Genomic DNA, 13,288 nt, shown 5'->3' with positions numbered 1-13,288 from the left:
ACCTGCATCCAGAGTTTTTAGAATAATTAGCTTTGAGAATACATAATGCTAGCCGTAGTGTTTAGAATAAACAACCAGTCCTAGATAGCCTATGTAAGGAGTGTGGAGGGTGATAGGGGAAATCTCAGTACATGGGAGAGTAGGACCAGGGTGACCTGGGATCAAATCCTGATTTACCCTATTTATTTACTGTGCAGTCTTGAGCAATTTACCAAACTACAGCAAATTCTAGTTTTCTTGTCGATAAAATTAGGTTAAGTATAGAGTCTGATTCATGAAGTTGCTACAAGGATAAATTAGGAGTGGCTTTCTCTACAAGATGTTCCACATACAGCATTTCCATCACTGGTAGTAATGTTATACCTAAAACTCCATGGGGCAGTAGATAAGAGTTAAGCAATTACTCCATACACTTGCTACATAGGGAAAAAGGTTTGGGTAATCTCCAGATTAGGAATTTTTTGTTTTACAAGGGTGTCTCAGATGAGGAAGGATGGAGTTCAGAATAAGGAATTAAAGACAAATCTGGGAGAAGTCAGGACAAGAAGGGCTATTGCACAATTTGAAGTGTTTCATGAAAGTGACAGCTTGCTCACAGAGAAAAGTAAGAAAACCCCAATTTGCAGTTAAAATTCTCTATCTGGAGGATAAATGATATGGAGTGACTGCTGTCTGTATGCTGCAGCAAACACCAATGAAACTAATTTAGAGAAAGAATTTTAATCAGAAGGAGATTATGAACTAAAACCTTTTAGTTTTGAATATAAAAGAGAAAAAGCAAATTGTAATTTTATGTGCTGAACATAATAGAGAATAAATTGGAAATTAAACAGAATAAGGTATGGCAGGGATTGGAGATAATGTTTTAAGAAACAGAGAGAGTTGAAAAGATAATTATACAAAAACACACACCAGAAGCCAATGAATTAGCTGCTTCTTCTGCACTGTAAGCTTCTGTTTCTATAGTTCTACGTATATTTCTTCCCTTCAATAAATAAAATATTCATTTGGGAAAGAAGACTGCCCTCCCTCCCTTCCTCACAATGTTTTTTCTTCCCATTTAGGTAAATTAGGCAAACATGTGAACATTAGGTAAAATCATTGTAAATGGTTTTTTTAAGAAATCAATAATTAATTTCAACAAATAGATTAAGTGTGAATTGAACTTTCATTATATAAAACAGGGGGGGGAGGGGATTTTACCAGTTTTGATTGAACCCTGGGCTCCCTAAACACTTGTGAGCAACTAAGCTCGCCTCCTCTCCTGACCGGACTAGGCACAGAGCCCAGGATGTCTTGGCTTTTTCCTTTCAAACATTTTATATTCTTGGGTCACATAAGGTTGAATTCTGGCCCATCAAATAATATGTTCTTCAGCCATTGCTAGTCTATGTTTCATGTCACTGGACTTCCCCGTGCAGTTTGCAGAATCCTGAGCTACCATCCGGGAAGAAAATCACTTCCTTTTGATTTTATCATCCATTGTTCTTACATTGATTTTAGCAGTACAGGCGGGCATCCTCTCCTCAGGTTTCCCACTGGTAAAATAATATTTTCTTGTGGTATTAGATTTAATCACAGTTTCATCTGATATCAGTCTGATTCTTCATTACAAAGTTCACAATCAAAATTTTGCCTAATGGTTTTGTGACCTATTTGTCTTCGTCAGTTCAGGCTGCTGTAACAAAATACCACAGACTGTAGATGATATAAATAGCAGAAATTTATTTATCACAGTTTTGAAGGCTGGGAGGTCCAAGATTAGGGCTCCAGTAGGTTTGGTGTCTGATGATGGTTTGTTCCTCTTAGCCAGTGCCTTCTCACTGTATGCCCACAGGAAGAAGGGGTAACACAGCTCTCAGGAGTTTGTTTTAAAGGGAACTAATCCCATACATAAGGGTGAATACCTCATGATATAATCATCTGCCAAAGACATGGCCTCTTAATACTGTCACCTCGAGGGTTTCAATATGCAAATTTTGAGAGGACACAAATGTTCAGACTATAGCACTGTTGAAAGTCATGATCTGGATCCACTATTGTCTTGTTATACAATTTTTGATAACAGCAACAATGTATATTTTCTTTTTATATAGGTTTGAGGTTCTTTTATTTACCTCTTTTTATTTTTTTATTTCTCTTTTGTAAAATATATAAATGCTGGAATCAATAGAGATTACTTGTACTTTTCTTCAGAGAGTATTTTGCCTACTAAAACCCTGGAATTTGTATATTGCTATAATATCCTGGTCCCTAAACCATATCTTTAGAGATATAGACATTATCATCCTGTATTTTGAAAATTCATTTAATGAGCATGTACTACTTGTAGACTGGGAGAGAAGGTATTTTTAGAAACTAGGTAACAGAATGTAGAGTATATTCAGTTCAAATCATTACTGGTAAATAATTAAATATTCCTCCATCATAAAAATTTAAGGAGACCCTTTACTTATAATGGTAGTTTGAGGACATATTGAAGTATTTTATGTAAGTTAGCCTACTTACTAGTACTTTGTATGATAAATGATTCTTTTGTCTTAAAGCAAATGAAAGAGATGGCCCTCAAGACAAATACAATTCTGACAGCCCAAAATATGTCATAATGAACTATTACTACCCTATTCAATTATGATAAAGATTTTCAATAAACTTTTGACATTTTTGAAAGCCTGATTCTCAACATCATTATAGAGTGATTGGAACTATTAATCCTCTCCGAGAACTTTCAGTCTCCAAATCCACACTACCATTTTGCAGATTATTTTTAGAGGAGCCTTTTTCCTTCACTGGAATAGTCACAATGCAGACCTCAGCACCACCACGGAGCCACACTAATATTTACAGAGGACCCTGGGGAAAGAAGGCAATAATGTGATCATAGTGGTGTATGCTGTAGAAAGTAAAGGAATGATTTCTAATACAAATACAAAGTGGACAGAAGTGGGTATTCTTGACATCAGGTTTTCAAAACAGAGCAGAACCTTCATGCTAGATTATCTTCTGGTAAATACAGACTAATAATTATCTGCTGCAGAAAGTTAATTTTATGGTGTATAATTTTAAGTAATGATGTGTTTAATCCATGATGGAAGAAGGGTTTAAATTCCCTTAGAATGAAATATAAGAATTGCTCCAGAAGTGCACATTACCTAGAATCAAAGAATCTTAAATTTTATCTTGGCAGAACACGAAACTATATCACCTTTAAAAATTTCCAAGCTAGATGCTCCAGGATGGAACTGTATTTGGAATATTATCTCAAGTCGTCACGACTAAAAAGTTCCATGCAATCTACAAATATTTACTTAGTAACTCCTATGTGCAGAAAATTGGAAAGCATGAATGACACAGATTGTTATTTTATTACGAATAAATAAAACCATGTATGCTTTGTTATAAGTGACAAATTCACACATCCACCAAGGATAGGCAAGAAAAATAAAAGCATGAAGCTGTCTGAAGATAACTGGTAGCACTGTACAAAGGGAACTCTGCCAACCTGAAAAGGCATCAGTCATTACTATTGGGTTTGAAGGACAGGGAAAATTATTTCTCAATTCTGATGAATTTTTGCATACAACCAACTGAGGTCTATAGTTGTAGTGCTACCCAATCTAATTGTTGAATGGTATTTGGGAATATCTATTTTTATATAAATTATTAGTTTTTAAAAGTAAAAACCTCTTTTCAAGCCAAAATATATATATTTTTGGAACTTCTACTAGAACCTGTTAGATGCAGGCAGACATCATAGCCGCTTCACACTCTTCAATACGCCAGTTTCCGCACAATAACATTAGTGGAAAGAAGGAAACAATTGTCTGTTACTATTTCTTCCTTAATGTGAACAATTATGTTTAAGTGCATATTTGTTATATACAAAATAAGAGTAAACAGTATTCTTGGCCATCCTTTTCACCCTCATGTATTAAATGAGTTCTTTTAGAACATATCTACCTCCATTCTTCCCTCAATCAAATTTGGGTTTTGTTAAGATTACATGGAATTTTACTTTAATATATTTGTTTTTATTGCTATGAATGTGTGCCTTTTCTGTTTCAAAAGCTAATTTTTAATAATAGCATCACATCTCAGAAAATGATATCGACTTTTAAATAATTAAGTTGTAAAGGTTTTATTTCTCACCATTCTTTCTCAAATACCACAACTTTCCCTTTATATGACTTTTCATCTTAAAAAATATATAGTTCTTTCTATTTTCTAAAAGCAGAAAATACTAATAACTTGAACTACTCAAAATCAAGTGAACTCCAAAAAATGCTTGGCTTTCATGAGAGTCACCTGTCAAAAGAGTGAGGCAAGTCCACAGCTCAATAGTGTCACTGTGTTAATGATTACAATTTCTAGTCTCAGTTCTGACTCTGGATCTTATGGACTTAAGTCTTTTTTATACCATTTGTCTCATTTGGGCCTGCAATTGAAGGTATTGAGAAACATTTCCAATTGCAAGACTTATACTCACTTTTAAATTCAAGTTTGAATTTCCTATCTGCACAGTAGGAGCTTTCCACATGAAAAACGAACCCATGAAAGGGCTGGATGATTGAACATTCATTCCTTTCCCTGCTTTGCAATGAATATAAACTGACTCTGTTTCAGTTTATGCACCTACTCATTTTCTACTTTAGAGCAGCTTTTATGCTAAGAAAAAGTCTGAAAAACTTCTATCTCCTGGGAAGAAAAGTGTGTTATATGTCAAAGCTGCAATTGTTAAAAGACTGTAATATTTTCTAAGGGTTGGAATCAAGGTCAAATCAAAAGGCTAAGTCCCTTTACTTTCCTGCATATATTGTTTCCATTTCTCTTCTCTCTATTATAATCATGTCTATTTGCTAAAAGGTTATGCAAAATAAATTAGGCTTTTAGAGCACTGACAGCTCAGCCATAGAGAAATTCTTTCCTCTATTTTTTTGCACTTTATACATGAACACCTGCTACACTTTTAATGAGCTTTAAATTATACTTTACACCCATGTAACAAGAATGGATATTGCTCTTTAGTTATAATCAAAGAAAATATCAGGATGACTTGTTGCTAAGAGCAACAGCTTGTCAAAAAAATAATACTTCCTCCACTAACAATATAGATAGATAGGTCCAGGTTGATAGATAGAAAATATGATTTATACTACATTGAGAGTTATCAATCTTTTAAATTTTCTTGTCTTCTGTGATTTAAGAGGAATTTGTCATTGCTCTATGACTATGCTGAGATTATTTTCTTTTGTTCTTATCTTTGTTCTTTCAGTCTCCTTGCTTCTAATAGGCCAAAGGATGAAAAAGTAGATTTTCTTTTATGCTTTTATTTTCTTGGACACATTAAAATGGAGAGACTTTAAATAAGATTTGGAGAGCCTCTTGAAATACCACAATATAACGACATATATTTATTGTTTGACCTATTTCCCCCTATAATCTGACTCACTTTTAAATTCTTAACGCTTCTTAAGTGACCTTTAGTCACTGTCAGATTGCCTTTTAAAGGAGTTTACTGTATGATAGGAAAGAAAGTATTAAAAATGAACTAGAGCAATTTGGCTACATACTACGACTCAGATGAGAGATCCTAGACTTCAGGGTCAATCAGAATTAATTTCTTTTCTAAAATGGTATGAATTTAATGCCACCTATTGAGAAGTAAGACGTATGTGTGGAAAAGAGGACTGTGATGAAAGTAAAACATAATCTAGGGCCAGACATGGTGGCTCAGACCTGTAATCACAGCAGTTTGGGAGGTCAAGTTGGGAGGATCAATAGAACCCAGGAAATTGAGACCAGCCTGGGCAACATGGTGAAACCTCATCTCTACAAAAAATACAAAAACTAGCCAAGTGTGGTGGCACATGCCTGTAGTTCTAGCTATTCTGGAGGCTGAGGCTGGAGGATTGCTTGAGCCTTGGAGGTCGAGGCTGCAGTGAGCTGAGATAATGCCACTGCACTGCAGCCTGGGCAACAGAGTGAGACCCTGTTTGAACATAAACAAATAAATAAATAAGTTAAAATATAATCCAGTGGAGCCAGGAAAGGGGGCCATGGCAGCAAGAACTGTCATGAAGGTTTCTGTCCTATGTCCTATTTAGGCACTGGGAGAGGCAGGATTTCATGTGATGCAAGTATTGCGACTATGGATTTCACCACCAGAATCTGAAAAGGAGGAGTATGTGCTTCTCTATTAAGATTGATACCTATCCATTACTTACCTTATGTTGTGTCATACCGCAGATGAGTTCATAACATAGACTGATTGTTACGTTTAGATTTATTGTTTGTAAGATTTTCTCTTTACACTGAGAGTAGGGCTGGTTTAGGTATAATTATGTTGACTGTTATTTAAAATGCTTTTGAATATAGAGGTGAAAAGCAATAAAAAAACAGAGATAGATAAGGATAAAACAATAGAATGGACAGGAAGGAGAGTATGAGAATTGGTGAAGAAAGATAAAGAAAAAGAAAAAAAAACAAAGAAACAAAAAAGAAATATTTTAGCATGTATGTCCACGCCACTGTCAAGTCTTCACATGAATTTTGAAAACAATTCCTTTTGCTTAACTAGCAACATAGTCAACATAATACATTCTATAACCTCAGCTTTCAACTTGGCCATCTTATATAAAAATGTTCTTTTAATTTTTAAACAAAAATAAGTAAAATGTAAATAATCTTTGTTTTTGTATTTCCTAAAATAATGTACCTTTGCCTTTATAAGCACAGCACACATTACTGTATCTGCCTTTTCAAAAAGAGAAATTTAAATGTCTCATTAAAGAAATGTACTTTTTCCTCTTATCGACAGTAACAAAAAACTTCAGAAAATATTTGGTTCCAAATCTCCTCAATATGCAAGCTATCTATTTATACTAATTATTCAAGTCTTGGGAGACTGAAAAGCAGAGATAGAATTCTCATGAGAAAAAAACAACTCTTTGTCACATGTGAGCTTTCATAAAATTCACTGCTTTTATTTAGAGTAGATTCAGATTAAGAAAGAATAGAATGTCTGGTATTTTAATTTAGCTAATGACAATAATAAATGTTGATAATAAAATTATAGTCATGGTAAATGTGCAGGAATATTTCTTTATTTAATTTGGCTGTGATGACATCATGAAATATACAGGCTATGTCCTTCAGGCACCCTTGTTCATTTTCTCTGAAACTAATCAAATAGAATACCAAATATTAGAACAAGTATTTGATTTTTTGTGTGATGTGGTAAAACCACAGAGTCAAAAATGTATTAAATCTAGTGAACACATTCTGCCATATTCGAGAAGATATTCTCCAACTCAGGGAAGTTTTCATGACGTTAGCTTACCTTGGCTTACTCTATTATATCTCTCTCCATGTTCACTAAATGATTCTCAGTTTCCCCAAAGTGCTAAAGCTGAAGTTCAAATACAAATCTATGTCAAACATCCACTTATGTTCCATTGGTTTCCTATATAACATAAAGTTCCACATAATTTGACAACTTTAGGTAAGGTTTAGAAACATTTGTTTTTTGTTAATTACAATATACTAATATTAGATTTTGTTCAGTTATTAATATCCTTTGAATCTTCAACCTGAGCCAACTAAAAAAAGTTCATTAATTTTAAAGCCTAGACTTTGGTGTTCATCAAACAATGAAATGTAAAAAAAAAAACAATTTTTGCTATAATTAAAATTACCTTTTTTACAAAATGCATGAGAACCTAATCTAACCAAAATTTTATTGAACACTGGGTATTGTGGGTGACTGGTGTGTTGTGTGTCTGTGTGTTAGGAGATGACATTTTAAGTAGAAGTAAAAGTAAAAGGCAAACATAGAGTAAAAGGGCTGCCATTTGATATTGCTGGAACTTTATTATATATTTTAGTAATTTCAACTTTGATTTTATATTCAAGGTGTACACACACAGGTTTGTTACATGCTGAAACTTACCATACAAATGGCAGATTCATAGGAATAAGCAGACTTAGCAGATGTGAAAGGTTGAAAATTGAGGGCGACAGTGGCCTGTTTTGATTACCACCGTATCCCAGCTCTGAGAAAACTGCCTAAAACATTAAATATAATTGATAACTGTTTGTTGCATTAATAAATATAGGCAAGTGGTTAAAAAGAGCAAGTATCTTTTACCTAATTTCTCTGCTAATTCTAAACGGTACGGGCCTGTTTGAATGACACTACATTTAAGTTTTCACATTTTCAAGTTATTTTTGCAAGTGTCGACAATGTTGTAACTATAGACTCTCTTATATCTCCTAACACAGACTAATCTCAGTCTCAATATTGGGGAAGCAGACTATCAGCCTCAGGTTCCCTCTCCTTTCTCACCTTCTCACTTAGTTTACCCACTGCCACAATCACACCTTGACTAGAAACATATTTACACCCATAAAATAATAACGTTGAAGTAGGTCCAGTATCCTTGTAACGTTTTGAGCAGTAACCATTAACAGGCACATGTGACACCCTCCTAGGATTGCCCAAAAAGGAGAGACAAAGACTACCCCAGAAAAAGAGGAACAAAGATGGCTGTTTTACGATGCATCACATTAAACTACCTGTCCCTTATATTAGTCTGGACTAATCAACCCAGATTACTGGTCCTTTTTAGTTAACAAGTAGACCTTGGCAGATATACCCCTGTATAGGTTCAGGACCCCTAAAAAATGTGATAATGATTTGTAATGCAACAGAAACAAAGTGAAAGACCACTGAAGAAGATGCTTTATCGAAGTGTCTAAATTTTTGGATGTTCCCCTTAATAGGAAATCCTATTAATAGAATGATATAATCCGTAATAGATATCATTCTAACAAAGTCAGTACTAATAGATAGAATTCTTAATAGAATGTCTTAGCGGATATACAGTTTTATTTATCTTTAGTCAAACCTGCAACATTTTAATAAATCTGGTACACTCATCTATGTCTGTATGGTTTTGAAAATTAAAGAGATGGAATCAACAAAAATAATTATTATTTTTCATTTATTCTGTTAACTTGTCACCGTGCTGTAAGATAGCATTATGGCATGTGAACAGAGTCATACTATATTTCCTTTTACCCATGACTGTCACCTTGTTTCCAGACCCCTCTCTCATTTCTTAATCTATTTCAGCCAGTAATGAGAGGCTTCCTTGCTTTTTGCCTCAAAGGTTGAATGTTCTGGAAGAATAGGGAAAACAAGAAGTTTTTTATGGATTTTAGACTTTGATAGTATGGGATTTCTGGGTAAGACATGTATATCTCATCTCTACACAGAAAATAATAGATTTAGGAGAAATCAAGTGAGGTATGAGCAAGGTTTCTCACTCCTAACCTTACACTATGAGGGAGTATTAGAGGGTCAGAGAGGAAGAAAAAAGGACTAAGATGCTGAAGACAGCACTGGCTGGGGCCTTGACCTCTGATTTCACATGCATCATCAAAGGCAAGAGAGAAGACTAGAGAAATTCACATAGATTTGGGTCGATCTGCATCCTGACACACATTTAATCCCTTTTCTTGGTACATCTCAAGGAAGTACTCAGATCCTAAAATAGAAATGGTTGCAGGAAGTGTTTATCAGACAGGCTTTGAGGGCCATCAAAAAGCAAACCCATAACCCTCAAGACAGAAGGCAGCAGAATAATTCCTCTGGTGGCGCCCAGAAAGCCTGGAGGTGGTGAGGTAACACCGTAGATGGCCAGTGAGTTTCTCACGGCTCTATCATGAGGGAAAAGCAGCAGAACGATCACACGCAATAGCGAGGGCAACACAGTTCGGTTAATGAGAGTCAAACTCAAATATCCCCTATTGTTAGGCAAGTGATAACTGGGTGGCTTCCTTGGCAGATTGCAGATTGCCACCAAGAGCAAAAGCATCTCATCAAATACCCAGATGTATCATTAAGACTCACAGCAGATGGCAACTCCTAGAACCTTCAGGAGAAAACTGGTCCTACAGGAATGGGGGAAACCTTAAACTGAGATGAATTTCCTTTCACCTTGTGGAATGGTTGCCTATGCTGGAAAATCAGTTACATTATAGAAAATACAAAATTACATTTTTTTGCACTCTTGAGTTTTGTGATTAAATTGAAACTCAAAATCTGCCGCTGTATAGAATCAGCTACAAGCTTCCCCATATGGCACAGAGATGAGGTAAGTCCTTGAAGGAGTGAATGCAACTGGGAGGAAGAGAGGAGCTGTTCCCAGGATAGCAATTCAGAGAGACTTGGGAACAGAACTCAACTTCTAATATATTCTAAAAAAGAAGAATTTGTAAAGTCTGCTTTAAAATCTTTAAGATGGGCAGAGAGGTGGAGGTAGATTCTTATGCTGCAAATAACACTGTTTTCTTACCTTTGAAAAAACACATGTATAATTTGTTAGTAGTAAAAAGAGATCATACCTGCAAACTACTTAGATTAATTGTCTGCATAAAAGTAGGTGCCCAAATTTTCTTCATTTTCCTGTATTATCCTTTAGAGATGGAGCTAGATTCAGGCAGAAACATTCGTATTTTGCTGTCTTATGGTATTGGGAATGAAAATAAGAAAAGGCAATTGAAGGATCAATAAGTCAATCTAGAAATTTTAATTTTAAAGCACTAACTTTAAAAAATAGCAAAAAAGCCAGAATCCATTAAAGAAAACCACCCAATTGTGTATAAAACACACATATACTTTATTTTACATATTTCTATTTTTATGTAAGAGAATGTGTTTTTCTAATCATTCTCATTTGCCTGCTCATTGAGCTGTTCATTCATTTTAAACTGTTCTGCATTTCCCTGTGCAAGAAATTCTGAGTGGATAATTTTGATTAGTAGCTCTTTCTGGATACACTTCTTTTTGTTCTTATTTTCAACTGTTACAGTTTTACTTTTTATTTTAATATGGCTTTTCATTTTATGACTTGTGATTTAGACTAATGTCTTTGATGTGAGCCATTAATGCAGCGATTTGATCATTTTACATTGACAAAGATATGAAATACATTCATTTATTCCTTTAATAAGAAATGTCATACCATAGGCATTTAATAAGTAATTGTACATGAGAAAATGAAGGTCTGTCAGTGTCTCTGTTAAGTAAAAGCAACAAATCATGTAATTTCTATCTTTTTAAAGAGATAGGTCTTTTTGAAGATAATGATACAATGAGAAAAATCTAGAAAAGAAGATTTTAAAGAAATTTATGGGTAAAATAAATAGACTCTTGCATGCAATATGGGTCTACCATAGCACCCAGGCAATCTTGATCTCATCTGCATTGGCCATGTGAGTAAGACTCAACACAATTCTAGTGAAATGTACTGTGATCTTCCCTAGAACGTGGAAGGACAGTCTTGTGAGGACCTATCACAAGGCCATTTCTCGTTCACCTGGTAAATTGCAAGAGGCTGCTGAAAGGCAGCTTCTCATCTGACTCTTGGTTCCAGTTAGGAAGCGTAGGACTTTCTATCTTTTGGATACAGCTGCAGTGTATAAAAGTGCTTGCTGTAGTTTAGAGTTGGCTTTCTAAAGACAGAGCATCCCACTATTCATGTTGTCTATCATCTGTCTCACCCATTTTGTGTGGTGTTGTGGGACTAGATTGTCAAGAGCTGACACCACTGATAGTGCTTTTTCTGTCTGTGAAAGTGTTAAACTTTCTAACTCCACTGGGGCTCACTGTCTCCCTATGAGGTAACTGTAAGTGCAGCAAGCCAATCCAGAAGCTTCCAAAAGGTTGCTACTTAGAAATTGCTTGACCGCTTGACAGGCAAAGAGAATACAAGTACTAATAATAATCTACCATGTGTAGATGGTAGAACCCTCATCGTTGCTGGACTCATACTAATCTTAATTTCACATGTTTCCCTCTATTTGTATGTCTTCCTTTCTTCAAGTATATGATCTTTCCTTTGTTTTACTAGACGGATTGAGGTTTCTTCATTTATCTGATAATATAAATATTATCATTTATTCATTTCTGTGTGTGTATATATATATAAGAATATTTACAAAAATGATAAAACACAGTATGACTATAAATGTTTATAAATTTTCATTTTTAAGAAGGAGAAACTAAAATATACTTTTTAGAAACTGAAATATACTTTTTGAGGGGAAACATGGTGTTTGTGGGTATTCTCTGCAATTTTTTTCTACCCTCTTCTAATGTTCTAAATGTTTGCCATTTAATTCATTCTGGAAAATGATCAGCTATTACTTGCCTCCTCCTTCCAACAAGTCAAACCTTTCCATTATGAAGCTTATCACTTCACTGTGCATCATTTACTCTTGACTTCATCTTCTTTTTCTGCCTCTGAGAACAATTTGACTTTTAAAGTCTTACATTATTTTTATTATTAATATTTTATTTTCTCCTAGATCTTTTGCACATCAGATAATCATGCTCAGGGATCCTTTATGATTATAAAAGTAAACAAACTGGAAAGTCATCTAAGCGTATATCCAACCATTGTTTTTTCTTTTTCATTATCAAACTTCTTGAAGACTATAAAATAACCTACACTCATCCCTCCCACGTGCCCACTTGTTTACACTCCACTCCTTTCTCAACCTACCATAATGTGGCCAGTACTTCATGCACTCCACCGAAATAGTGAATGAAGTCATACCTAACTAACTACAATTTTTCACCCTTTTAAATAAATGTATTTGCATCTTATAATACCTACAACAAGGTATTATTCTAGATTTTTCTCTAACTGTATGTCCACTGATTTCTAAATATGCTTTAGTGTTATCTCCTTTGTCTTTCCCTAAATACAGATATTTTTCAGTTTCTTTACTTGAATCTCCTTTTTTTATAATTTTCTTTCCTTGAAGATCTCATTGAGTTTCATAGTTTAATAATTACATTTATGTGCTTCATTATCATACTTGTGTTTATAGCCCACATATTCTTCTGAGCTACATTTTCAGGCATTTATAGGGAAATTTTATTGGGTACCTTAATACCTTAATAGCCCCTTAGAATCAATACATTCAAATACTGCTCAGCATCTTCAATATCCATATGCTGCTTCTATGCATTCCTTATCTCTACAACAAATCTGTCTATTTTCTCAGTCCTTCTAGAACCATCATTCAAGCCTTTTGTACATTCAATTGTCAATTACTCCCTCAGCCTTTGACAAGCCCTCTTTACTCTTCCAATGTCTTTAAAGCAACCTCCTTTCCTTTAGCAATCCAACTGTTCTAATTTAGGCCTTCCTTCCAACTCTTAAAATAGGCCTTTCATTGATCAGCTTATCGCCAACATTTCTTCCTCACATAAGTC

Source organism: Homo sapiens, chromosome 4 (assembly GCF_000001405.40).
Source record: "Homo sapiens chromosome 4, GRCh38.p14 Primary Assembly".
Lineage (NCBI taxonomy): Eukaryota > Metazoa > Chordata > Mammalia > Primates > Hominidae > Homo > Homo sapiens.
The sequence above is the reverse complement of the archived record's forward strand: the minus strand, read 5'-3'. Positions refer to the sequence as shown.